Genomic DNA, 27,532 nt, shown 5'->3' on the forward strand with positions numbered 1-27,532 from the left:
CTGAAGAAAACTAATAGACTTTGTTTAATTTAGACCTGCCAAGAGTAGATTAAAGAACCTTATAAGTATGAAACAGTTCTTATTCCAGATAATATAAGCATTCACTCAGGTAATATAATCACATCTCAGTGGAACTTCAGCTATAGGGAGTAGATCTTCATAGTAAATTAACATTCTGAGGAATTAACAAGTAACTGCAATGCCTTCCTTCCCAGCCTCTCTCCATGAAAAAGCTGAGGCACCTTACAAAGATCGACCTAAAACAAGGTGAAATAAGAAGATGAGAAAATTAGGACAAAGAGAAATAATATGGTAAAACAGAAAATAATTATTGCCTTAGTGTCATTGGCTAGAGTTTGGCCACCACATAATCCTAAGCTTCCTAGCAACTGAAGCAAAGAAAACCTATCCAGCTCTACAATTCACAGTGGGCACGAGATGAAAATAGAATGGTTGCTAGGGGGATACTCAGCTTTTCCTGCTCCCGGGACTGGAGAGAAGCTTGTGCTTTGGTCCCCAGGGAGGGGCCCTGTGCAATCACAGGGACAGCGCTTACAGCATCTTCTCAGTGGTGGGAGTGCACCTCATGTGACTACATTCCCCTCTACTTTACCTCAAGCTCCTTGAGGGGTGTGTTCTTCATCATATATCAGAGCCCAGCACAGTGCCTGAGACATAGTAGGTGCTCATAATGTATTTTTGAATGAATGAATGTTATTTGTAATTTCTGTCAATGAAAGCCAATGGGTGGATACAAGATCAATACACAAAAATTAATAATTTTTTCCATACATTAGCAATGAACCATCTGGAAATAAAATTTCTAAAAGTTCCACTTATAATATCATCCAAGCAATAAAATAATTAGGAGTAAATTTATCAAAAAAGATGCAAGACTTATCCACTGAAAACTACAGGACATTGTAGAAAAACCAATGGCAAACATTTGAACAAATTCATTAAAAGCAATTCTATGTGAAGCAAAAATACAGAGATTTTTAGGTATATGGCTTTCTGATGATCTGACTTGATCAAAAGGTGTAATTTAAAATTTTAAGAGGAATATTTAAGGTGAACATAGTTTTGGCAATTCTCTATGATTATTTCTTTTTGCAACCAAGCTCCTGATAAGAAGGAATCACAGAGAATTGGAGTTTGCATTCTCTGTTTGCATTGCATCAGATTCTTGGTCAAGAATCTGAATGTTGCCAATAAAGGGTGCTGTTAGGAATTAAGGTGAGCCCATAACATATGTTCCGTAATTGCTTTGTGAATTGGAAAGGTGTGTATTGGATAAAATAACATCAGGGTGTATGTGAAAAATACACTGCCTCAAATGTTTAGCAGTACCTAATTAAAGACCCTTAAGATTACTGATTCCAATAATTAATCTGTATTCTGATGTATAAAGGTGTCGGTCGTTTTCATCAGCCCATTTTTTTGGGGCCCACAACATATGCTTAACAGTTCCCTAAACAACTCTATAAAGGAGGCACTGTTACCATCTCCTTTTACAGAAGAGGAAACTGAGGGCTAGGGAAGATAAGCCATTTGCCCAGGGTTCCACACTAGCATGTGATAGACCAGAACCTGCACCCAGACATCCATTTGCCCTGCTGTGCAGCCCCTCTCATTTCTGGCCTAAAGATAGCCAACAGCAGTTTCCTCTGATTTGCTAGAAGTATTTTTCCTGTTAGGTATAGTGTGTGCTTGGACTTTGGAGGCTTCATTTTGATGTTGTGCTCAGTATGCCACAATTAAAGAATTATCCTAATTTTAAGATCATCTTTCCAGAGAGTCCCTCAGAACTTCAGGATAACCAAGTACAGTCTGAATGACATTTGCCAAGTGTTGGCCTCGGAAAATTTATTGCTTCAACAGGGGCCTGTTGCCAGTAATGATTGGCCGACTTTTTTCTTGCCTAGCAAAGACTTTCATTCTGTAAAGGTAACTGAGAGTTTGTAGTTAAGATCTTGGACTCCAGACTCAGTGGACACGGTTCAAGTCCTGGCTTAATAATAGAACCTTCCACATAGTATTATTGGGAGGATTAAAGGAGGCTATCACATAGGGCACTTAGCACCATGGGGTGCTTAGAAAGCTTTTAAGAATGGTAGCTGCTAAAACATACAATCCTTTAAAGTTGGACTTTGGAGTAAGGAGTGCGCTTCGACAACCAGCAGTAGCTGCCAGCAGTTTAGACTGAGAATGGCTCTGTGCAGCCAAGCCTCCTAAAGCCACCTGGAAGCTCTCCAGTCTGGACTTTGAAAATTTAAATATTTTTCAAATTTATTTTTGACCAAGTTTAAAGAAAAGGGATTCCCACAGTGTGAAAGGGGCTGCCATAGCTTTGCCGTTTCCCCTAAGGAAGGGCCTGAGGGAAGCTTCTTTTTGTTGGTGGAAGAAATGAGGGGAGAGGGCAAGAGTTTGGGGTAGGGAAGAACTGGACTGGAAGCTGAGTCTGGTCCTCTTTAGTCTGCCTCTTCAGGCCCCCATCCCCGGCCACCTATTCCTCTTCTGTAAAACCAGGGCGCTGGACTAAGAGGCCCTTCCTGTGCCGACATTCTGTGAAACCATAAACGCTTGTCTTGAGCTACAGTTTAATGTGAGCCCTCAGGGCCCTTGTAAGTCTGGGCCATTGGAAAGATGTCTCCGCATCTTTCATGTGAGTCAAGAGGTGGCTTTGTCTTTTATCTTGTCTGGTGTCCATACATCCCAGCTTTAAATTCCTCTTAAAATTTGGAGCCAGGGAAAAATTTCTCTTGCTGCTTAAATCTTCACACTGTTTCTGATTGGACAATGCCAATGATACACCTCAGGGTATTTCTGTTATTGTTTCATTTGCCAAGAATCTCAGAGCTAAATGCAGTGACCAGCAATTGCGGCTTCCTTCAAACAAGTCAGGTCTCAAAATCTATCTTAAAACTGTATGTTGCTGTTTAATTTTATGTACTTTAATGGAGAAGCCACATCAAATCCATTTGTGGCATTAAACAGGAAAAATCACCCATGCAGAATGACATAGTAAATAAATGCAGAAATGAATGAATACCCCTCCTCACTGTCAGCTGGCTCCTTCTCTGCCCCTAGTGAGTATGAAATTACAACAACAATAACAAATAAAATGTATAAAGGACCTACTCTGGACCAGTCACTGTTCTAAGTAGTTTATGTATATTTTCTCATTCAACAATCTTGTGTTTGGGGGTACTATTATTGTATTTATTTAAACATGAGGACAGGCAGGATTTGGGGGGACATTAGACCCTGCAAAATTCTTTGGCTTTGGGGGTCCTAGTGGTAGAGAGGCTTTGCCCCATCTGGTACTGGCTTGTTTATGTGGCTAATTAGTAAGCTAACCAAAGTCAAACAACCAAGAAAAAGACAAGGAGGAGGAGGGGAGAATTGATGACCACAGAAGGCAGGAAAACCCTCTCTGGCTTCTGACTATCCTGAGATCTACTCTGAACTCCGGTACTGACTTGAGGAATCTGTGGCGTCTCAGAGGCAGTCCATATTTTGGAATGTGTTTGGGGGTAGAGCTGTGCTTGGAGGAGTCATCCCGAGTTCCTGCAGACAGGACTGTTAGGAGGCCAGCTGGGCTGCAGGGTGTTCCACATGTCCATTGAGGCACCCTGCCTACACCTGATGAGTTTGTAGAAACATTCCCCAGCGGTTGCCTGACTTCCAGGGCTGGCACTAAAGGGGGAACTAGTCAGCCCATCTGACCATGAGTCCTAAATAGTTCCCATGGAATATTCAGTGCTCTGCACTTACTTCTCTTAGCACTGAATGCCAGAACGGCCACTAGCAGGGGCAGGATGGGAAACTGTAGTAGCCTGTCACGAGCAGGCTGATCATCCAGGGCCTGGCCTGGAAGACAGACTGGGTAAGTATAGTCTTCATTTGGCCATTGTGCTCAACTGGCAATGTGCCCACAGTCAATATGCAGATGTCTAGATGTGGCCAAATAATAATACAATTTTAAAAAACAAATAATCGAGAATTTGCATGTTCAAAATATCTCTCAGTCAACAAATATTTGTTGAGCCATCCCCTGTGCCCAGTACAATGCCAGATCCTGGGGGCATGGCAGCAAGCAAGCTCGTTGGGGACCTGCTGATTGGGAGCTCACAGTGAGCAGGCAGGCATGTGATTATTCTGCAGGCAGTGACTTCTGGTGTGGTTAAGTGCTGTGCTGGGGAAGCTTTGTCTTTTGGAATCTCTTTGGGTAGCTCTTTAATCTGGAGATGGTATCATTGCTCAAAACATTTTTGGAGCTGCCCTTTAGGAATTGCCTTTAGAACTGATTTGGGTCACACAGTAAAATCTATCTCACTTTTATTTTACGGCCACACCCAGCTTGTGACCAAAAATGGTATTGCCCAGCTTGACGACCCATTTTATTTTCTAGTCTTGGCTCTGATTTGCTTGTAAGCCAAAATTACATCCACCCTTTAAAGATGGATATTTATGACCACTGAGCATATTAGCAGTAATTTGGATAATTTTGAAGCAATTTCTCACTTGCCTAAGCTCCCATTGTCCTTTATATCTCTGTTGTAACACTGTCCAATCTCTCTTGCAGCTGAATTACCTCCTTCTGCCTGTGTTTTCCCCACTAGGGTGGGGGTCTTGGAGGATAGGCCCATATGTCTACACTCTCTGCAGTGCCCAGCACGGAGCACATGTTCAAAATGTGTATTTATTATAATTGAATGTATGGGTTGAATTGAAAGGAATCCAAGAGGTGTCTCAGGATTGCTCTGAGTAACAGGAGCACTGTTGGAATGATGGGCAGCCCAGTGGGCTCTGGAATCTCACAGGTCTGCCTCCAGTCCCTATTTGTCCCCTTGACCAGCTGTGTGGCCCTATGCAAATCATTCATTCCCTCAGATCCTTCATTTCCTCATCTGTGGAATAGAGATAATAATACTTGCCTTACTGGGGCTATTATAAGGACAAGTGGAATATTCACATAGTGCCCTAAGCACAGTGCCTAAATGGAGGTGATTAGTATTCTTGTAATATTGGAGCGAATTCTTGTTTGGATGCATAAATTCTGATTAAAAAAAAATAACTCACCCAGAAGTCACATTATTTAAAATCATTTGCTGGCCAAACACAGTGGCTCATGCCTGTAATCCCAGCCCTTTGGGAGGCCAAGGCATGAGGATTACTTGAGCCCAGGAGTTCGAGACCAGCCTGGGAAACATAGTGAGACCCTGTTGCTATAAAGTTTTTTAAAAAATTAGCCAGGTGTGGTGGCTTGCACCTGTGGTCCTAGCTACTCAGGAGGCTGAGGTGGGAAAATCACTTGAGCCTGGGAGATCGAGGCTGCAGTGAGCTGTGATCACGCCACTGCACTCCAGCTTGGATGACAGAGCGAGACCCTGTCTCAAAAAAAAAAAAAAAAAAAAAGAAAAATCATTTATCATAGAAAATGTATTCTGCAAGGAACCCTAGAGCCCATCTAAGTCCAACCTCCTAATTTTCTTTTTCTTTTGTAGAGAGAGGGTCTTGCTCTGACATCCAGGCTGGAGTGCAGTGGTGTGATCACAGCTGTAACCTCAAACTCCTGGGCTCAAGTTATCCTCCTACCTCAGCCTGTCAAGTAGCGGAGACTACAGGCGCACACCACCATGCCCAGCTAATTTTAATGTTTGTAGAGGTGGTGGGGGAGGGGTCTTACCATGTTGCCCAGGAAGGCCTTGAACTCCTGACCTCAAGCCATCCTCCCACTTCGTCCTCCCAAAGTGTTGGGATTACAGGCATGAGCCACCATGCCTGTCCCCAACCTCCTAATATTAATGAGATTCAAAAAGGGAAGTGGACTGACTAAAGTCATTGGTTCATGACAGAACTGGGCCAGGCCAGAGCTCTTTTCATGTGACGTTTGATACTTACCCCTACATTTGGAGGTGCCACCTTCCTTGCAAGGGCCTTGCATTTAGGCCAGGAGCTCGGATACTGGCACTTCTGGACAATGGTAGCCAAGAATTTAGGATATGCACTTGGGGAGCCACAGCACATGCTTTGCACACCCTTTTGCAGCAACACTTTGTCCCTCTGCAGGGTGTTGAGCATGCTGCTGTGGTTGTGTAGCTCACAAAGCTGGCATAAGCAATACAAACTGGTGGTTAGGAAGCATGCTGACAAACCTGGTACCATTACCTAATAGCTTACCACTACTTGATCTCTCTGAGCTTCACCTTCTTCACCTGTAGCATAGGAACAATAATGGAATCCACCCTATAGGGTTGTTGTGAAGGTTAAATGAGATAATGCATGAAAGTGCTTACACATTGCCTGGCACAGGATAAACACTTCTTAAAATTTACTATTATGATCAGTAATACATCCAAACCAAATATTCTGCCTCTGGCATCTCCACTAGTCTCAAGCTAACCTCTAATCTGCAATGAAGCCTTACCAGGTCTCTCTTCCAAGCAGGTGCTGTTGACAGACTTTTACCCCTCCCTTCACAAACATGACCTCTCACATCTCCTGTTTCACCCCAACCATGGACCACAAGATCCTAAAGTAATCAATAGCAGTTGCCCATCAATAATAGGGCTAGGAACTCCTGGGTTTTCTTGTTCATCATCAGTTATAGGAAGAAAAATTGGCCACTGGCTTAAACAAATACTGTCTTTCTTAGGAGTTGTCTTTACTTTGAAGGCACTTAGACCCTTGGGAGGCTCTGCTATTCTGCAGCATGGCAGGTGCCCACATACCTGGATGGCTGCCTTCTATTATTATTCCCTTGATACTGGGTTCTTTGCACATGTATACACTTTGGGTTCTATTTGCTACCCTTTTTTTTAAACTTGACTAAAACAGTGAGTAATTGGGAAGTTCTGAATTTCTATTTGGAAAACAAATTGATGAGATCAGAAAAATCCAAGTAATCCTAAATTTACAGAAGCCAGATTACTAAAACGCAAGGACATTTTTTTGTAATGTAGAAAAGTTATGTTTCACAGAGGTTTTTGCAATGCCCTGACTCTGGATCGCAGCCCTCCCTCGATTCTGGGTATTACATCATTTCATTTCAGCTAATGTAAACACTCATCACCCTGCACGTTGCAGGATTTTTCACTGTGATTTGAGATTGGGCTTCATTCAGTGGGTCGTGGTGATTAATGGTTTCAGAAGGAAGTGCAGCAGGAAGAGACTTTGCAGGAATGGAAGAGGTGAGGCAGCTCCACGTGAGATTCTGCAAAGGGATTAAGATTTGGCACCAGGCTTGGTTTCTGTGCAGCCTCTTAGGCAGAGAGCCCCAGGAGAGGGAAGCAGGCTGTCAGCTGTGGCTTTGCACGCTCTCAGCTGTCTTGAAGGTTGGTTGGCTCTTCCCGCTCTCTGAGGTACCCAATTTTACCTTGTTAAAGGATGGATGTGGATGCTGGAGGCTTAAAGAAGACCAGGTAAGGGTTCTTGTTGTCTAAGAAATCCCCCAGTGTTCTTAATGCATGGAATCCTGGGGACTGTTTCTTTACTAGCACCATTGTGCAGTGTTAGCCAAAATACAATTCCTCTGAGACATTTTACAAAGAAGATCAGAGAAGTTTCTTTCCTTGTTAAGAAAGTTTCTAAAATGTTTTAACCTAAAATGTTTAACTATAGAGATACAAATTATTTTTCTTGCTGTGCAATTCAGCTTTGAGATTTTTTTTGCATGTTAATCTACAAGATCTCGATAGGTATCCTGAGAGTTTATTAGATGTTTGTTTTCATTCCTTTTGCAATGGCCTATGGTATATTATGTATCAACATTTAATGTGATGAAAACGTCTCACTTATATTCTTCAGGATACTCGCTTTTGAATAAATTGCTCTTCTTTTTGCAGATTTGGTTTGTTGCTTTCTTTTTTACCTTTTGGCTTTTGTGATTATAATACTAGTAAGGAATATCCTGAAGTAGTTATAGTTTTTTTTCTAAGAGGAAAAAACTATACTCAGGAGTTAAATGCAAACATTTGATAGCATCCCTGATTAAAATGAGCTACATGTTTTTTGGTGTTTCAAATATGCTTTTTAAAAAATTTTCAGTGTAAATGTCCATAGTTTTGGGAAAGGTAATGCAGTTTATCTGAGTGGTCATTTACTTATAAACATTAAAAGGATATTAGACCTTTGATAAGATTAGCTGAAGAAGAGGTCATTGAAAGGAGTAGTTTTCTGCTCACCACCAACTCATTTCCAAATTCTGTTGCTTTTCTTAAAAAAAAAAAGGAGTTAAAAATAACCCAGAATAAAACTTGAAAACTGTTTTGTTTCTCTGTATTTGGCTAACTTCATCCCAAAGTACTGTGTTTAAGGAATTCAAGCTATGAAGACTACTCTTGAAATGGCTCACATAATTCTATCTGCGAATTTCCATAATCCTTTTCAAGAGCATATGATGTTTTATGAGTGTTAGGGTTAAAAATTTCAATTAAGTGTTCATTCCTTCTACAACCCTGAGAGATGGATAACAACCCTCAGAAAAATAACATGAGAAATTGTGTCCGTGTCCTGACGCAGGCTCATTTTTCCTGTCCAAAGTTGTGTGGAAAGGGGGCATTTGGCATCTCTCCTTCCTTATGGAAGGTGCGGGGTGTCTTGGTAGAAGTGAATGTCTGTGGTCTTTGTGGTAGATGGATAGATGCAGGGACTCCTGATCACTTTAATTTATTGGAAATCAAATGTTTTCATTAGATGTAGGGGACTGTGACTCTCCAGCTTTGGTTGAGTGGGACGAGGTCTATGCACTCAGTGGTTCTTCTTGTTTTTGTTCGGTGAGCCCTTTCAGCCTATGTCGTCCTGTTTTTCTTTTTGGAAACAGACTGGCAGCAGTCTCTTGCGTTTTGTGTTACTTTAATCTAGCATTTTAACCATTGTATTTTCTTTTAGTGGGATGGCTAATAGTAAGGTTGGCTTGAGCCTCAATTTGAGAAGGTGTGAGAATAGCTGTAATCTTTAGGAAAAGAAAATCATTCCAAGAGTTAAAACATGCAGACTCTTAATTGTGCTGTGTCCATTCTATTTTAGAGGAATCTAGACAAGCTATTGTTACAAATGCTTTTCCTCAAATGTTTTCAGAAGACCAAAAAATATATATATAATTTTTTGTCAGTGTATTACATTATCCTCATTCTGTCTTTTTTCTCCTTATCTGTCATTTTGGAGAGAGGGAAAATTGTTCAGGTAAACAATTGAGGAACAATTGCCAGAAACATCTGGGAACAGTCGCCATGGATTATCTTTTCCTTCTTAATGTGATCTTGATGAAGGTTTTACTTGTTTGGTCTTTTTATTTCTATTAAAATGGTAAGACATGTGCATGGTTGAAAAAAATTCAAACAGTACAAAAAGGGTAAACAATGAAAAGCCTCCTCCATGGCATCTTAACACTCAGTTCTTCCCTCAGCAGTAAACAATGCTTTAGATCTGTGCTTTTCAAACTTTCGTATGCCTAAGCAACACCTGCAGAGTTGGTTACAACACAGCTTCTGAGGCTCTTTGGGGTGTGAGGAGTAGATTGAGAGGGGAGAGAAAGATAACTATAGTTCATTATATAACTATAGTCTACAGTACCTAAGAGACAGGTGGAATTTGAGGATTCTAGTGACAGCAGGAGACAGGGGTATAAAGAAAAAAAGACTGTTGAGTTTCTTAGGAATTGAAAATGCTCTTGAGATAGTTGGCAATGAAGAGTAAGAAGCCAGGGTCATGAAACAGAGTATTAGAGTAGTGAAGAAATCCAAGGAGCTTCAGCATAAAAATGCCATCAGGAGAGGCCCAGTGGGTGGAAATAGGGAAATAGTCAATAGTTAATGGAAAATATAGCAATAGAAGGGGGTTATGGGCCACCTGACAAGGATAATGAGATTGAGCTGGAAACTGGAATAGGACTGGCCAAGCTAAAAAAAAATCAGGCCAATTAGCAATAATGAGAGTGTTTATTCACTTGTAGATTGGCAAAATACCTCCCTGGAATGAACTAGGACAAATGATCATTTCCTGTGCTAATGATTTTATAGCAGAAAAGAAAAAGAAATACCATAGAAGGTACAGGGAGGTGTCTGTGTGTGAGCCACTGTAATTTAATAACCCTAAGAAATGTAAGATTAACGGTCTGATGCAAGGAACGGAAAACCAAGATAATGTATACCTGACGAGAATTTTAAAAGCATGAATAGTAATTATGAAAAATAGTCAATAAACCTCAAGAATCTTGTCAATGAATTTTTTTTAAAAAAGGTTAACTGCCAAACACCTTTTCAGAAACACAAAATATGACAGGATTCAAAAAATCATTTTGAGAGGCACGGGTGAGAAGAACTAGGTTTTTTTCCCTACCCCACCTTCTTTGTCCAATAAAGTAAGAAGAAACAACCGACGCTAAACACTTTCTTTGTGGCAGGTATTGTGTGAAATCCTTTATGTTCCTTAATTTATTTTGCCCTTATAGCTCTGGAGGTTGGGATCATAATTATTATTTACAGATACAGTGCAAAGAGAATTGCTCAAGGAAGAGCATATTCCTTCATAAGGAAGGGACATCTTTGAAAAAATAGGAAGTTCAGTTGGAAAACCAGAGAAACCCACCTAGAAAGCCCAGTAAAAAAGTTCACATAATTTAAGGAGCATTCTATAAGAAACTGACATTAAAGCAAAAATAAGAGAGACTTTTATAGGAATCGAAGTGAAGGAGCAAGGCAAAGATAAGGAAGAGACTTCAATAAGGAAGAGACATCTTTGAAAAAAATAGGAAGTTCAGTTGGAAAACCAGAGAAACCCACCTAGAAAGCCCAGTAAAAAGGTTCACACATAATTTAAGGAGCATTCTATAAGAAACTGACATTAAAGCAAAAATAAGAGAGACTTTTATAGGAATCAAAGTGAAGGAACCAGGCAAAGATCCAGCAGAACCTTTGCAGATGCTCAGAATACTCCTTGGGCGATAGAAAAGGGAGCCAGCAGACACAATAAATTATTTGCCTTGGTCTTTTCAGAAAAATATATCAAAATCATCTTTAGAAGCAGAGGTACTAGATCAAAAAGTAGTAAATGAACAGAATGTTCTAGACTGAGTTGACAAACTGGATATGGATAAATCACAGGGACAGGTTGGCCTTCATCCAAGAGTTCTAAAGGAATTCAAGGGTGAAATCATGGAGCTGTTGTTAAAAGCAACTCATTTTTACTTTTGAAAGTCTAGCAGCCCCCTAAACCTTGGTTGCCTGGTAAAATTGCCCAGCTCCATCTCCCTGCAGTACATTATTTAAACATAAATTATAATCTGTATGTAAAATGTAAAATATAATAAATCAAATAATGTTTTCAATAACTGTGATTTTGAATTCCCAAACCATGTCATGTCACTGTTTTGAAAGTCTTTGTGAACGTTTCATTCTTGAAATTGCTGAGAATTACCAGCCCCTTACAATCATGTAAAATAAGCTTATCATAATTCATGTGAACTCAGTAGCAAAAGCACAAAGAAACAAATAGGCAGTGACTCAGTTGCAAGAAAGTATTCATCATACAATGTTACTTCACTAAAGGGGGAAAAGAATCCTGCAGCCTCAGAAACAGACAGTCAGTGTCCATTAATTAAATAAATGCCATGTGAAGGATTTGAAAACTAATCAGCTTTTGAGTTCCTAGCTGCACAGTCCCACTGCCCAATTTGCCTGGTGGTCTGGCCCTGCTCCCATTTATCTCAGGCCTTCTTCCATTTCTTATGGTCTTGACTCTGCCTAGGTCTGCAGCCCAGGTGCTCTGTTCTCTGCTTTACTGCAGGTGGCCCTAGTTTTCTATCACTCATGACCTGCACTCTGTGTCGCAGAGTAGAATAGTGATGGTGGTCTGGGAAGACAGGATTTGTGCTGGGTAAGACAGAGAGCCAAGTACAGGGTTTGTCAGGGTCAAAAGCTAGCAGTAAACCAGAGATGTGGAGTGGAGATGAAGGTCATTCAGTCATTTAATCGGTATTTCTTTTTTTTTTTTTTTTTTTTTTTTTGAGACGGAGTCTCGCTCTGTCGCCCAGGCTGGAGTGCAGTGGCGGGATCTCGGCTCACTGCAAGCTCCGCCTCCCGGGTTCACGCCATTCTCCTGCCTCAGCCTCCCAAGTAGCTGGGACTACAGGCGCCCGCCACTACGCCCGGCTAATTTTTTGTATTTTTAGTAGAGACGGGGTTTCACCGTTTTAGCCGGGATGGTCTCGATCTCCTGACCTCGTGATCCGCCCGCCTCGGCCTCCCAAAGTGCTGGGATTACAGGCGTGAGCCACCGCGCCCGGCCTCGGTATTTCTTTTGAGCTCCTAGAATGTACCAGGCATTGTACGAGGTATACAAATATGAACAAGACAGCCACCGTGTTAGAGAGAAACAGTAAACAATTACAGTAGAGCAGAGTTCCTCAACCTAGACACTAGGTTGACATCCAATTATTTCCTAGAGGCAAAATTGCCTCTGTTTGAGAACCACTGTGGGAGAGTATGACAGGTGCATGAATGGAGAAAGAATAGGCCATTATGGGAGTTCATAGCAGGGCTTCCTAATGCAGACCTGGAGGTGAAGGAAGACTGCCTAGAGGAAGTCATATCCTGCAAGACATCTGCAGGGTGAGTAGCCCTCACATGAAAGTTGGAAGAGGACAGTCAAGGAAGGGAATGATTAGACATGGAGACCAGAGGGAGGAAACCCTGGGTCAGTCATGGGTAACTACTCTTACCAGTGGTGGACGCTCCTTTTGGTGCCAGCCTTATCAATCCCAAGTGCCAGAGTTTCACACCCGGCATCTGACAGCATGCTTTCAGAGGCTGTGCTCATGCACGTAGCTGCCACTAGATGAGGAGTGATGCTGGTTTAGAGATCCTTAGGCTTAGTGGTCTCGGGTGCAAAAGGGGAGGAAATCGATATCTAATTCCATAGAAGTAGAATTCTCACTAAATTAACTGCCCCTTTCAACTCCAATGCCTATTTTTGATTAGCTAAATCTAAGTTCATTTGACCAAGATTAAAAACTTATTAGCAAAAAAACTTCTTTTCTTACATGGCTACTCCACAAACTGTTTCCAACTGCTGGTAACTGCAGACCATTTTGGCAACTGTTTAGCAAAGAATACATTGTAATCATCCTTAAAATACCTCCCTTTTCCCTCTATTTTCTTTATAGCTGGCTCCTTTCTAGAGAGAGACTGGTCTGTATTTCTGCCAGCAAAGACCCGTTGGCCACATACTGGGTCAGCCTCGGGACTCATGCAATGACAGGCACATTCAAGAAAGATGCACTTTGTGTCTTCACATCGTAGGATCCCCTCTGCAGCATGCCTTTTCCTATTGGCTCCTTGATCCCCTTGTCCCTCAGGGGCCTTTCAATTTCTTTCTTTCTTTCTTTCTTTCTTTCAATTGTTTTGCTTTGGTTTCGGTTTTGAGACAGGATCTCTCTCTGTCACCCAGGCTGGAGTGCAGTGGCACAATCTTGGCTCACTGTAACCTCCACCTCCCAGGTTCAAGCGATCCTCTCACCTCAGCCTCCTGAGTAGCAGGGACTACAGGCATGCACCACTGCACCTGGCTAATTTTTGTAATTTTTGTAGAAATGAGGTTTCATTATGTTTCCCAGGCTGGAAATTTCTTAATAACAATGATTGACATTCAGCACTTGCTGTGTGTCACCAGCCACAGGGCCGCATGGGAGAGGAGAGAGAGGCACTAAAAGGTAGGGGAAAAGAAAATTAAAGCCTAGCACCATACTAGCCACTTCAAGTAAGCTATTTCCCTTAATACTCCCAGAAAACCCTTAATGGGTGGTGTCTTCCTCACTTTACAGATGAGGACCAGGCCTGATTTTATACAGCTATTAAGGGGTACAGGTGGGATTTGAGCCCTTTGTCAGACCCTGAAGCCCATGTTCCTTCTACTTCTGTGTTTGGAGGAACTATCCAGGCCAGTGGGCCTTTTTGTGGCCCAGCTCCCAGGCCATTAGGACAATATCATCAGGGGTCTTCAGGCTACAAGGCAGATCTGGAGTTGAGGGAGGCTGTCATCTTCAGCTGTTATTGGGGGCTTCTTGTGATCTACATACATCCTTATTTGGGCCGTGACTTCATTGCCCATTCCCAGATTGCTGAGATGGCTTCAAAAGCAAGGACCCCAGTTCTCCTTACCCTCACAGCTGTCCCACTGCCTGTTCCTAGGGCAGTATGGAATGATGTTAAAGATTCCAGAACCAGGATTTAGAAAATATGGAGACTAGGTACCTCTACCTTCCACTTGCTAACACACTCAAGACGAAGCAACAAATAAATCTGTTGCTTATCTAACAGATTGTTTTGCAAAATGATAAACCAGCTGTATTAGTCCATTCTCACCCTGCTAATAAAGACATACTGAAGACTGGGTAATTTATAAAGGAAAGAGATTTAATTGACTCACGGTTCTGAAGGGCTGGGGAGGCCTCATGAAACTTAATCATAGCAGAAGAGGAAGCAAACATGTCCTTCACCTGGTCGCAGCAAGGAGAAGTACCAAGAAAAAGGGGGAAAAGCCCTTTATAAAACCATCAGATCTCGTGAGAAATCACTCACTATCATGAGAACAGCATGAAGGTGACTGCCCCCGTGATTCAATTACCTCCCACCAGGTCCCTCCCAAGACATGTGGGGATTATAGAAATTAAATCCCCAGATTTGAGTGGGGACACAACCAAACCATATCACCAACCATAAACCCTACCTGATTGTCTCAACTGATTGCCCTGGGCACGAAATCACATGATGGTTATGAAGACAGGCTGAAAAGATGCACAACTTACCATCGTAAAGAGATACTGTGTCAACAATAAAGGGGAAAAATTCCTTATTGAATTTGCTTATAGGAGAGACATGTTTGCTGAGCAGAGGGATGAAGGTGACTCCATAAGAAGGTGAGTTCTAGAGAGAAACATTCATATCAGCGAGTCTGACTTCCTCATGAGGCTAGCAATTGGAATTGTAATAAAGGGAAACTTTCTATACTTAGGTAATAATGACATTTTGGGCACAAGGTATTGTGGCTTCTATGAAAGAAAGTACCAAGAAGTTTATAACTGAAAGGATCACACTGATTACCCAACTACCCCTCTCCTTTAACTGATGATGAAACTGAGGACCAGAGACATGGATGGGTAGACCAAGTTCATGTGTAGTCAGAGCTAAAGCTAAGGCTACTTGACCTATAAATAGAGGTTTGTTTACACTGTGTGTATGGGAGAAGGGAAACCCTAGAATATCTTTTATTTAGATTTTACTTGAAAATTATCTTTGTAGGGAGATTATGTCTCCCTCCAGAGGCTCTTAAAGATTTGGTCATCATGCACTGGAGGTATGCTGTGTTGAAAAGATTAGGACCTGTGCTGAAGAAAGCACCACACAGGCACACATCAAGGGGGAAAAAATGATTTTTTTCACAGAATTTATTCATTAATAAATCTATTCCTTTATCCAACCAATATTTACTGTGCACCCACAACAGTGTGCCAAGCATGATGCTAAGTGCCAGGATGTAGAGTAGACAGACAAGCCTCCTTCCCTTTGAGCTTCCAGTCTAGCTGTGACCAGACTTATTCTGAAATGATTAAGGAAGGTATCCAGTGAGCTATGAAAGGTAGTAAGGCGGAGCTTAACCATGAGAACTCCTGAGAGGCCTATTTGAGACAGGGATGTAACAAATGGGTTTCAAAATGGGTGATTCCAAGTAAAAGCATTAAGCTTGGTGGTCTAGTATTTTGGAAAGTTCAGCTATTTGCACAGAAAGGAAAAATGTCAAAATAAGGGAACCCAGCAGGAGCCTGCTGCCATCGTCCAAGTATGTGGTGCTGAGCCTTTAGCCAGAGCTGGGGCAGTCAGAATGGAGAGGAAATGTGTCATCTGAGTCATGCTCCAAAGTAGCATTGGCTGCCTGGCCTAGGGGTTGAAGGAGAGGAAAGAGACAAAGGTGGTGCTGAGGTTTCTGACCTACAGCAGTGGACAGGCGACAGAGATGAGATTATGGAGACAGTGTGGATATTTGGGGAAAGTGACAAGGTCAGTCTGAAGTAGCCTGATTTGGAAGGGACTGGAGAATGGTCCAGGTGAGCTGTCCTCACAACAGCTGCTTAGCCCTCACTTGGATAAGTACATTTAGGACCCTTAGGAAGAGAATGACTTTTCATGTCGTCAAGGAGACTGAACTCTCGTGGAAGACAAGTAGTTGCAGAACAAAATGGAAGATTGCTGGGGATTCACCATTCCTTCCTTTTTTAACAAAAACTTACTGTGTAAAATTTTAAACAAACACAGAAATACAGAGAATAGTATAATGACCCCCTCTTTACCCATCACCTAGCTTCAACATTTATAAACATTGCCAATATTGTTTTATCAATCTCCCCTCAGGAGTATTTCCCCTCTACCTTGCTGGAGTATTTAAATCCTAGATTTTATATCACTTCATGCATAAATACTTCTTAGTATATTTTTAATAAATAGAGACTTCATAAAAAAGAGAACTGCAATATTATCATACCTAAATAAATATTTCCGAATTATGATTTAATGACAAGCCTATATTCAGACTTCCCTGATTGTCTTTAAAATGGCTTTTAATATTTGGTTTTTGGAACAGGAATCAGATGAGGTCCAAATATTACATTTGACTGATATGTCTTGTGAATCTTTTCATCTCTAATAGATTATCTCTTTTTATTCTCTCTTTATATACACTCTTTACTTACTGAAGAATCTGTGGCTATGGACCTGTACGACATTCAGCTTTCTTTGGAACACCTTGAGTTACTGTTTGAGGCTTACTTCTTACGAATACAACAGGCATAAAATTGTTAGGTAATTCTGCAATGACCTATCTTGTATTCCTTCTGTTTTAGGATTCTCAGTCCTCCATAGCTGATACTCCTCGTGGTTCTAGGGAGCTGAGTGCCAGGCTGTGCAAGGGCAGCAAGGATTTTCTTTACTAGAGGTATATTGAGAGCACAGCACGTGTGAGGCTGTGCCAGGCCATCTGGGAAATGCAGGCAAAGTGGAAGTGCCTTTGCTTGGCTCCAAGGAGCTTATCACGAATTTGGAAGAAAGAAGATTGCATGAAACTAACAGATTAACATAGGCAGCTCAGTGTTGGGAAGTCAAGTAAAGCTACACTTGGCTCAAACCCCAACCTTGACTCTTAACAGCTGGGTGTTGGTGAACAAGTCACTTTATATTTCTGAACCTAATTCCTCTTCTTTAAAATAGCGAGGAAAAACTCTGCCTACTTCAGGATTATATGAAAAGCAGGCATCATGGGCCCTGGAGTTAGACTTTAAACCCTGCTTCCTTCTGATATTAAGTGCCTGCAGTCAATGGGCACTTTACTCCATGCCAGTCCTGTGCTCAGTACTTCATACACATTACCTCATTTTAGGCCTCTCAGCAACCCTGTTTTACAGATCACAAAACTGAGGCTTAGAGAAGCAGTTTGCATACATTTACCTACTTAGTGAATTAGGATTTAAACCCAGACAAAGTCAAAGCTCAAACTTTAAACTGCCAAGATATATTATTTCTCTCGAACACATATGTCAAGGTTCAGTATTCTTGTTTATAAGGAGGGAGCTATCATATCAACTTTATGGAATTATCATGGAAATTAAGACAAAACCTACTCAACAGATAACAAATGCTCAAAAGTATTTGTTTTCATGGTTGTTATTATATCAATGGTTGAACAAGTCTGTAAAACATGAAATTGTACAGAACCATCTATAAACATAATAGGAATGTGGAAAATGGAGACATTAACTTGCATTGAGGCCCTTATGGTGAGAGAGGGGGCAGGGAGGATCCAGTGGGTCTTTGGTTATCACAGGAGATAAAAGCACATTCTAGGATGGGGGAGCAGCTCAGGCAGGGAGACTAGATGAATGGGGTGTTAAATACCCTCTTTAAACTTCCTATTTGTCCAGTTAATGCCAGTGAGGGTTTAATGGTCAGGGAGAACACACATGTGCACCCCTGATGCCATTAAGAAGACTGTGTGGGAAATTACAAAAAGAGGTTGTGATGAAGAGCCTGGTGCTCTGGGTGGGTCTCAGCACAACCTCTGTCTGGTTCTGTGGTCTCAGCAAGTTACTAAACTTCTTTGCATCTCACTTTCTTTCCAGGTAAAACAGAGATCATAAAGGACTTTATGATATAGGCTATCCAGGGATGTTTGAGGAATTAGATGAAATACTTTAGGGAAAGATAGTGCCAGAAAGACCCAGGGCAGAAACCAAGAGAAGCCAAGAACTGAAGTCCTTCCATTCTCACCTCTATGTCACCTTCCCTGCTTCTATTGGGGTTGCAGTCTTCACCACCCCCTCACCCTCCCTAAATCAGGGGTACCACAGAGTTAGGCTGCTAAAGTGACATAGTGAAAATGTTCTCAAGGGTTCCCTCCTTTCTGCAGAAACAGGACCCTGGGTAATACATGTGAGAATCAAGAGGAGAGAGGTTGGATGTGCTCATCTAGGCTGGTTACTTGCTTTTGCTCCCCAAATTTTCTTGCGTAAGAAGTTTATTCCCAATTTCTTGAAAAATTTAGAGGAGGGATATTTGGTGTAAAACAATGAAATCATTGGTCTTTGGGATGTTGACTGAGTCTCTTCTGGGGAAAGAGAAAGCAGGGAAGGTGATGCAGAGGTGGGAATGGAAGAACTTCAGTTCTTGTCTTCTCTTGGTTCTTCCCCGGGTCCTCCTGCAGATAAGAGAGATTTTCAAGTCACTAACACTTTGGTGTGAGTTAATTGTGTCTGCTCTTCCTCATACTGTATGCAGACCACTATGGAAGATGGATGCAACAGGAATGGCCTGTTGGAAGACTGGTGAGCAATACCAGCTCCGGAGGGCATACAAGTTTCTGCAGGGGCCACAGGGGAGGGTTCCCTGTCTGGAATTGGAGGCTCAGATGGGGCTTCCTCCAGGAAGCATTTAGAGATGGAGTGTGACTTAGCTGTAGTTACCACAAAGAGGGAACAGCATTTACAGAAGCCTAGAAGTGAGAGAGAGGAGTGAGTCCATGATGGATTTGGGACCCCTGTGGGGAGCTATTTCTGCAGATCCACAGGCCCCTCAGAGCTCTCCACAGAGGAAATATGGTCATTGTTTGTCAGAAGCCCTGCCGAGGCAGCGTGAGGCTTATGAGGAAATGGGGCATGAGACAGCAAGGCGCTAGAAGGGTACTTCCTAGCCTCACCTGCGCACCTCACCCCTGTGTGCACAGCACATGGCTCACCCCTCGGGGCTTCGGTGTTCTCATGAATGAAATGAGGACTTAATGAAGTCCTTTCAGTTCCTCAGCTCTTTGGCTCTCTGAAAATATTTTTAAAGCTGAGGAAAAAAAAATAAAGTAATACTGAAAACAGATTTCAGTCCTTATTAGGTTGCAAAATGGAAACAGAGACAGAACCTGGTATTGAGAAATAATTCAAAGAAGCATTTAAGAAGAGACATCTTTGATATTGAGTAGATAAAGAATTTATGGCAATTCTAGTCTACACTGGGCTTGAGTTACCAACAAACAAGAAATGAATCAAAGGAGAGACGTGAGGAAGAGGAGAAAACCCCCCTGAGAAGCAAGTGGGCATTTGAAAACAAGTGACACAGGTGACCTCCTGTCCATGGGGTGAGCTACTCGGTAAATACAGGGCCAGTGGCTGGCACAGGAAGATGTGCCGGAGTGATGGTGGCAGCAGGAGTGAGTCAGAGAGCCTGAGCTCTTTGGAGGGGCTGGCTTGCCTTTGGAGGCAGAGGTTGTGGGCACGGGAAGGATGTTGCCCCCTGCTCTGTGTGGAGGCGCTGAAGGGGTCTGGCCCGGAAGGCCATTTGTAGAGCTGAGTGAATGCCACCTGGGCTGGGCAGAACTGGCATCTCTTGTGCGGTGGTGGGCATGTGATAGGAGACATGTACCCAGGACATGTACCCAGAGTTGCCTGGGGACCACAGGGGCTATGGGTCAGAACCACTCGGATGAGTGGGGCTGCAGATGGGCAGGTCTCTGCTCAGCCTATTGAGAAGTGAGATTCTGACAGGGAATCTGAGAAAGGGGGGCAAATGGGTTTTTTCTCCTTGGCATTATAACATGAGCCAGATGCATTGAATCAGGCATCAGCATTGTCACATCAGTAGCAACAATAAGCATCTGTTCTATGCCAAGCATTAGGCTATGCCCATTATCTACATTATTCACAGACCTCACAACAACCTGTCTAGGGGGCATTGTTTTTAATCCCCATTTTGCCCCATATTCCAGTGAGCTTCAGAAACATTGAGCCTTCAAACTAGTGAATTGCAGAGATGAGGAACCACACCCAAGTGTACCAATTTCTCTTTCACGAGAGAGACATAGTCTAAGTTGTGTTTTCCAATCCCAAGCAGTTGCACCAATGCTGTGCTCATGGTAATGTAAAACATAAGCAACATTGAGTATTATTGTTTTTCAGTTTTTACTTTAATAAATATTAAAATGATACCTTTGTCCCCTTTTGCATTTTGTTGATAACTAGTGAAGGTGAACAATGTGTCTGCCATCTGCCTCCTGGGTGGATTGTCTTCTTGGCTTTGCCCATTGCTAGGCAACTCATGTCACACGTGAAGACAATACATTCCAGTGTGTTTGAGTGACCTGACCAAGGTCACACAGCTGGTTATCAGAGAGGCCTAGGCCAGAACTCATGCCAGCGCCTCTCCCATGGCTATCCTGTCTGCATCCTCCACACCCCAGCCCTGGGCTGCACTCCCATCTCCTCATCCTGGTGCCACGACGGGTCTTATGAGAAGCCCACCCATTCCCAGGGGCTATCCAGCAGGAAGACAGAATGGGACAGGCGGCTCTTTGACCAAAGCATCCCAATGTGAAATCCGTCTACAAAAAGCCCTGGAATCTCTTCTGATGAATAATAGGTAACCACTCAGGCATAGTTTAAAATAGTTTGGTTTGTTTTGAAATTTTTTAAAAATACAAAGAAGAAAAACAGTGGAGGAGGCAGATGGCATGTTTTAAAAGAGTTCTTGCTGGAGATTTTAAAAGCCAATATAAAAACTAACTAATAAACTGCCCATCACAATCTAAAGATAGATATACCAAAAATTTCACTGGGGCACCTGGGGACAAGAACAGCTGTTACTATGAATCTACTGTTTATTAGGCGCTGACTGTCAGGTGTCATGCTGAGTTTCTGAGTCTTCCACTTATTCCTCACAACCACCTGATAAGACAGATACTGTTACTGTCATTATCACCATTTTACAGATAGGCAAACTGAGGCTTATTTTTACAAGATAAATGGCAAAGCTAGGGCTTGAACCTTGGGCCTGACTCCAGTGTTTGTGCTGTTAATTACTGATGCTACCAGACACCCTGAGAAAGCATCTAAGCCAGGGGAGTGGCAGCAGCCCTCTGGCCTTCAAGAGAGCAATCATTGTAAAAACAGATTATCCCAGCCACTTTGAATAATAGTTCTTGATCCAGAAAAAAAGCACGCAAAAGACCATTTGTCAAGATCCTTCTCTTCTTTTAGATTAACATCAGTGCTATGTTTCAGTTTCAGTAATTGAGGCTCAAGAAATTTGCTGTACAAACCACCATGGCACGTGTGTACCTATGTAAGAAAACTGCATGTTCTGCACATGTACCCCAGAACTTAAAGTATAATAAAAAAAAGGAAGAAAGAAATTTGCTGTAGGCAATTCTAAGTGTTGAGCTAAAATGAAGCAAACTCAAGCATCTTGCCTCCTTCTATCCTTACCCACACGGTGTGTGTGCATGCACATGCACACACAGTGCAACTCACACACCAAAACAGCTAAGAATAAAATGGGTTCGAATAACTCAAGCAAAGTCATTTGAAATTACAGACTTCAAGGCTAGTAGGCACCAGGCCAGGACATTCTCATTTCGGGTCTACCAACAAACTATCTCCTTTTTAAAGAGAAATGTCATTTTGATTTCAGCCATCCTTGCAGGAGGTTTTTCAGTGTAAATTCCTCTTAGCCTTCCTAAGTAAAAATGAAGAACAGCTGATCCTTGTCTTGTCCAATGTATGATTTTCCCTGGAACTTTTATGAGCTGAGTAGGATGAGCAAGAGAGGAAGTGTTCTTTAAGAGAGTCAATGTGCGGCCACTCTCAGCTGCGTGGTGTTGCCTATAGCAACTAAGATTTATTTTATAAACACATATATGGTCCTTACTGTACAGCAGGCACTGCTCAAAACAGTGTACAAATAGTAACGTCCTCTTCACAACCCTATGAAGGGGAAAGTGAGGCAGAAAGGAGCTAATTAACTGGCCCAAAATCACATCGCTAGAGTGGCAGGTGGGGGATCAGGGCTCAGGTAGCTTGCCTTCGGTGTGCATTACTCGTGGTTAGTAGTGTTGCCAATTTCTTCTGACATAGAGTTGATTATCTTCATGCTGTTTTTCTCACACAGAGATTAAGCCTGAAGTTCATGTATCCCATGACCCTGGGGAGAAAAAGAAACCTAACTACAATAAGCAATGGGAAATGAGTCAGAGCCTGTTTATTTTGATGATTGATTTTGTGAGAGTGATTTGTTGAATGAATGAACCAAATGAATGATGGCCTTTTGCGGCTTCTGTTTGCCACTTTGATATTCCAGGATTTATTTCTTTTGATCTTCTAAGCCATCTAATTGAAATACCCACAAATTCAGATATTACGATTTATATTTGGCCTTCAGTCCCCCATCTGCATCTGGCACGGTGGACTCAAGTACAGTTCACCTCTTGTGCATTTGACCTCTCACTCTAAAAATAAGGGCCAGATGAATGTTCATATTCCTTATAGAACAGATGATGGTTTTACTAGACGAGTGTGGTTTATACTTTAGAACAGCAGCTGCACATATGGAATGAAATTATCTGAGTAACCTATTTTCAAACCTTGACACATACATTTGGCTTAAAATTCAACATGCGCTTTCTCAAAAAGGAAGCAAATGTAAACAGTCTTCTCATATATTATCCTGCACATCTGAATCCTATGTTTTATTTATTCGTTTCTCTTTTGAGTCTGGAATATAATCAGTTGGAAATGAGGAAGGAAGCCCCATTCATTCGCCTCTTTGTGATGCCATGAAAATGATAGCATGTTTGAGCTGATGGAGGGCCTTGGAAATAATCAGAGGAGACCCTTTCATTTTATAGAAGGATTCTGAGGCCCAGAGAAGTGCAGTTTGCCTGGGTTCCTCCAATCAAAGGTGGTGAACATGGGCTTAAAACCAGGTTGCCTGACTCTAGGCCAACTGAGTTGGACAGTGTTGAGGTAAACTCTGAAAAGCTGGTGTTCCTGCCCACCACAGCTCCCCACCTGACCCCTCCAGTCTCAGTCAACACCCAGACACCAGGGATCACCTGTCAGTTATCTCAGACCAGAGATATCTCTTCAGGCTTCAGGCCTGTACTCGCTTTGTGTATTAGGCACTTATCACCACTCACCCAAACAATACATTGACTGATAGCGCCTCCCCATCGTCCTGATCATCTCCCCTAAACACACACACACACACAAAACACTTTTAAGGCACAGACCCATTGTTCTCAAAAAGTAGTGTTGATTACCTTAATCCTTTTCTAAAATGCTGCCATTGTCCACTTCACTCACTCCCACTCATGTATCCCAATCATTTAGAATGATGTTGGCACACTGAAAGCACTCAATAAATATGTGTTGAATGAATGAAAGGCTCCTCATTTCCTACTAAAGAAATTAATCTCCATTTCTTAGCTTGGTAGTCAAGGCCCTTTATCATCTGGCATTAATCTTTTCCCATTTTGCTCGCTTCCTCCCTTCTGTCCTCTGCTAATTAAACAACCAAATAGCTCTTTTTTAAGGTAAAAATTTATTGTTTACCAATAAATACTCAACTTATTGAGTGTTTATGCCAAGCCTTTTTTCACCTTTTTATGAGTGTTAACTCGTTTAATTCACACAACAAACCTATAAGGTTGGTACTATCATTATTACCATTTTACAAATAAGGCAATTGAGCCACAAGTTAAGTTACCTCTCTATGATCACACTTTTAAGATGAGGCAGAGCTGGGATTCAAACTCAGGAAGTGTGGCTTCACATCCCATGCATGTAGCCACTATGGCATGGCTAGCTTTCCTATTGGTTTATTTTTAGTTATAAACTTCAACAGTCTGGAAGTACATAAAAAGTAACAATTTTTCACCCACTTCAAAAAGAATTTAGATAATATGTATTCTTCCAGATGCTTTTCTTATGTTAACTAGTATATTTACATAATTTTAAAACCAAAATTATACATACTACAACATGCCTTTTAAATTTACTATATTTTTGAGATATTTCCATAAATATTCCTACACATATCTCTTACATATATCACAGCCACATTATTTTTCATTGTTGCCTAGTATACTCTTGTATGGATACACACCATAATTTATTTTTTCAGTCCCTGTTGATGAACACTTCAGTTATTCCCAAGATTTTTCCCTTAGGAACAATGCTGGAGTGAGCATCTTTATATATCTATGTGTGTAATGCTAAATATTTCTGTAATTCAGATTCCTAAAAAATGTGATTGCTGAGTCTTGGGGTATACACACTTAAAACTGTGATAGATACTGATAAATGGCCCCCAAAATGCTGTCCTCCCACAAATAGTGTCTTGCAGTTTGCCAATTTATCCTCCCACAAATAGTGTCTTGCAGTTTGCCATGATTCCCTTTTCCTCTGCACACAAATTTGGGAATTGAATGCTTCCTTCTTAACCGTTCCAGTCCTCTCCTCTCTGGGAGCTCATATTCTCTGCTTGTCATGCCTCTATGCCTCTCTTTTTGCACAGTGAATGTATTTTTTCTTCCCCTGCTGCCCCATAATATCAAATCCTCCTTGTTAACTGACTGGTGCTCGTGTTGTCTCTTGTTTCTCTCTCTCTCTCTCTCTCTCTCTCTCTCTCCCCCTCCCCTCCCCCCCCCAACACCCTTTTCTCCTTCCCCTCTCCCCTCTGCTTCCTTGGTTATATAAAACCATAGTAGTTTCTTTGATACAATATTCACATCAAGGAGTCTCGGAGGCTACCTAGAGAAGAGTGAGTTCTGACTGTTGCTGGCAGTGGCGACGCTTTATGTGGTGCCAATTGGGTTGATGTTTGTAGCCTCAGTATTTGGCTGTGTTGTTAAAGATGACCCCATTTGGTATCCGTTATTTAGGGCACAGCAGTGAGTGTGATTAAGAAAGGAACAAAGAGTTACAAAGGAAAGCAAAACTGGAGAAGAGCCTTTTAAATGATGACGGAGATGAGAAAAAGGAAGATAAAGGCAAGACGTTGCTGAACTCCTCCTTCATGCCACCCCCCTTGCTTGGTGCTTTACATACATTATTGCATTTAATCCCCCAGTGAGAACAGACTAAACAGATTAGGAATGGTCTGTCTGGAAGACAGGAGGAGGATGTGAGCAAAGTTTCTGAAGTCATAAATAGTTCTAGTGTAAAACTACAAAGATACCCCATGAAGTTACAGCAGAGTGAGTTTAGGACAAGAGAAAGGTAGTAAGTAGTACTTCCAAATGGGGCTAGTAAACAGTGGACTCTGTAACCAAAAGTGTGAAAAGATGGACAATTTAAATAGCTTTTTTTTTTAAGGTTTTAGACAACTGCATGGTAATACATTGCTGCTGGATTTCTAATTGGAGTTAGGATGCTTGGAGTCTTTAGACATTCACATTGAGGTCAAGGAGTCTAACCGTATGTACAGCCCTGTAGTCCATGAAGGTATCTGGGGGAGCAGAAGAGAGGACATTCAGGGCTTCTGTCATCTCTCTTTAAACCAGAATCTCTCTACTTCTTATCTCTTGAAAGTTCTGGGCTTCTACATGAGATTTCCTTTGTGAGGGACAAAAAAAAGTTGTTATTTATTTATTTTTTTTAAAGTCTACAAACGATTGCATTAGTTGTTTGACTCCACTATTCCAGACAAGCCGTGGGCTGGATGGACTGTGGATCTAACCAACGGGAGGAAATTTTACTCATGGACCAAGGCTCCACCATTGCTTCTCTCAATTCCATAGCACAAGCTAGAGTCTGACAGCCTTGTAGCTCAGCCCTGACCTCAGTGAGGTGAGGACTTGGTGAGGTGAGAGAAGGCAAGTGCAGCAGCAAGAACTGCTCCTGTTTCTGAAAGAACATCCCAGTCCATTGGTAAGGCCTCCCAACCCCATTCCACCCTATCACAAGCAAGGTGGGAGCTCCCCTGCAGCCAGTGCCCCAAGTGCCTTGCCTACTGTGTGCCTTTGAAGGAAGAGTCAGGGAGGCCAGGAGCCTCAGCCTGAGCCCTGGCTCACAGGTTCTGTGCTGTCACCGAGCTACTTACTTCACCCCTACTCTTGCCTGGTCTTTCCCTTGGGCTGTGAGTCAGAAGACAGTGGTTGAAGTCTCTGCTTACTCATTTTGCAGCCATAAGATTCTCTAGCACTCAACCTCTTTCTAACCCATGGTTTCATCTGTGTTTCTGTAACAACTTCTACTAATCAGGCTGCTAGGAGGACTGACTAAGATAATGCAAACAAAACACTTTTCAGGGTGCCTGCTGCATGGCGAAGCCTCAGTAAATGGTAGTATTGGTGGTTGTAGTTGGGTCATTTTTATACCCCCTCCACCCCCTGCTTCCCCTGCTGATATCTTGGTTCCTAGCCCTGTGACTTGGAAGAGACTTGGGCTTCTGCTATGATACCTGCTTCTGAGCCAGTAATCCCCAACCCTGACATCTGCCTGCTGCCTTCCAGTCCCATGGCTTGCCCCATCAATACTGATTTTCTGTCCTTGATTATACCTGCAGTGACATCACAAAGCACAATACATCATACACAGTGATACCCAGTAACAGCCCTCTTTGTATGTTACTGCATTTAAAAAAGAACTTTGTCTCTTAAGAGCACTTCACATATGTCGTTTCATATTTGATAGACTTCCTTTTCTGCAATTGAAATGTAGAAATATCAATGACTTGTCCTAAGGTGCAGGCTTGCTAGTTGATATAGACAAGCAGAAACCCAGGTCCTCTGATTCCCAACTTCTTTTTACCATTTCCTGCCATCTTTTGAGTTTTTGTATCTAGATATATTGGCCTTTGCTTTGATTTATACAGACTTGTAGGTTTCCCTGTGAATCTGGGAGCAGGATGAAGGTAAGAGTTTAACTTCTGCTTTGCAGTTATACTGTAGTCAGCTGCTAAAACATAAGAATACTATCTAGATGTTAATGAAAAAAATATTATTTTTGACCTATTTTTGTTTCAAAATGTTCTGGACTTATCTCAATAAATAGCTGTTAAGATGTTTATCAAATTTATTGCATTCCCCAAAATCTAAATAAATACCTGAGATAAAAAGAAAATGTGACCCACTTGAGGTTAGGAGTTCGAGACCAGCCTGGCCAACATAGTGAAACTTCATCTTTACTAAAAATACAAAAATTCGCCATGCATGGTGGCACGTT

At 41.9% G+C, this 27,532-nt stretch overlaps 1 protein-coding gene and 2 long non-coding RNA genes across 35 annotated transcripts in view; 2 read left to right on the top strand and 1 right to left on the bottom strand.

Annotated features, from left to right (window-relative positions):
- On the bottom strand, positions 1–26,845 carry PLCE1-AS2 (PLCE1 antisense RNA 2). Of its 2 annotated transcripts, NR_120616.1 has the most exons (8): positions 26,769–26,845; positions 25,783–25,921; positions 22,389–22,508; positions 14,810–14,927; positions 14,431–14,500; positions 12,725–12,836; positions 6,187–6,252; positions 1–257 (listed from the first exon to the last, which is right to left on the bottom strand). It is a non-coding gene; the product is annotated as a PLCE1 antisense RNA 2 (long non-coding RNA). The 2 variants fall into 2 exon arrangements; NR_120615.1 differs by lacking the exons at positions 1–257; positions 6,187–6,252; positions 12,725–12,836; ... (1 more) ...; positions 14,810–14,927; positions 25,783–25,921 and adding an exon at positions 17,699–18,744 and having other exon boundaries at positions 22,389–22,526; positions 26,409–26,845.
- The window catches only part of PLCE1 (phospholipase C epsilon 1), a 338,893-nt gene that overhangs the window by 88,019 nt on the left and 223,342 nt on the right, over positions 1–27,532 (top strand). For 5 of the 32 annotated variants that reach the window (XM_006717890.4, XM_047425302.1, XM_017016312.3 and 2 more), the window contains exon 1: positions 7,077–7,427. The exons of 25 other annotated variants lie outside the window; for them this stretch is intronic. In XM_006717890.4, coding sequence (XP_006717953.1) covers positions 7,146–7,427 — 282 coding nt within the window. In that variant the 5' untranslated portion in view covers positions 7,077–7,145. Of the gene's footprint in view, positions 1–7,076; positions 7,428–27,532 lie in introns of those variants that run through there. 2 more of the 32 variants (XM_011539850.4, XM_047425303.1) reach the window with 1 other exon arrangement.
- The window catches only part of LOC107984255 (uncharacterized), an 18,453-nt gene continuing 15,950 nt past the window's right edge, over positions 25,030–27,532 (top strand). Inside the window, exon 1 of the long non-coding RNA XR_001747554.3 lies at positions 25,030–27,221. This is a non-coding gene — a long non-coding RNA (uncharacterized LOC107984255). The remainder of the gene's footprint in view (positions 27,222–27,532) is intronic.

This window comes from Homo sapiens, chromosome 10 (genome assembly GCF_000001405.40).
Source record: "Homo sapiens chromosome 10, GRCh38.p14 Primary Assembly".
Taxonomy (NCBI): Eukaryota; Metazoa; Chordata; class Mammalia; order Primates; family Hominidae; genus Homo; species Homo sapiens.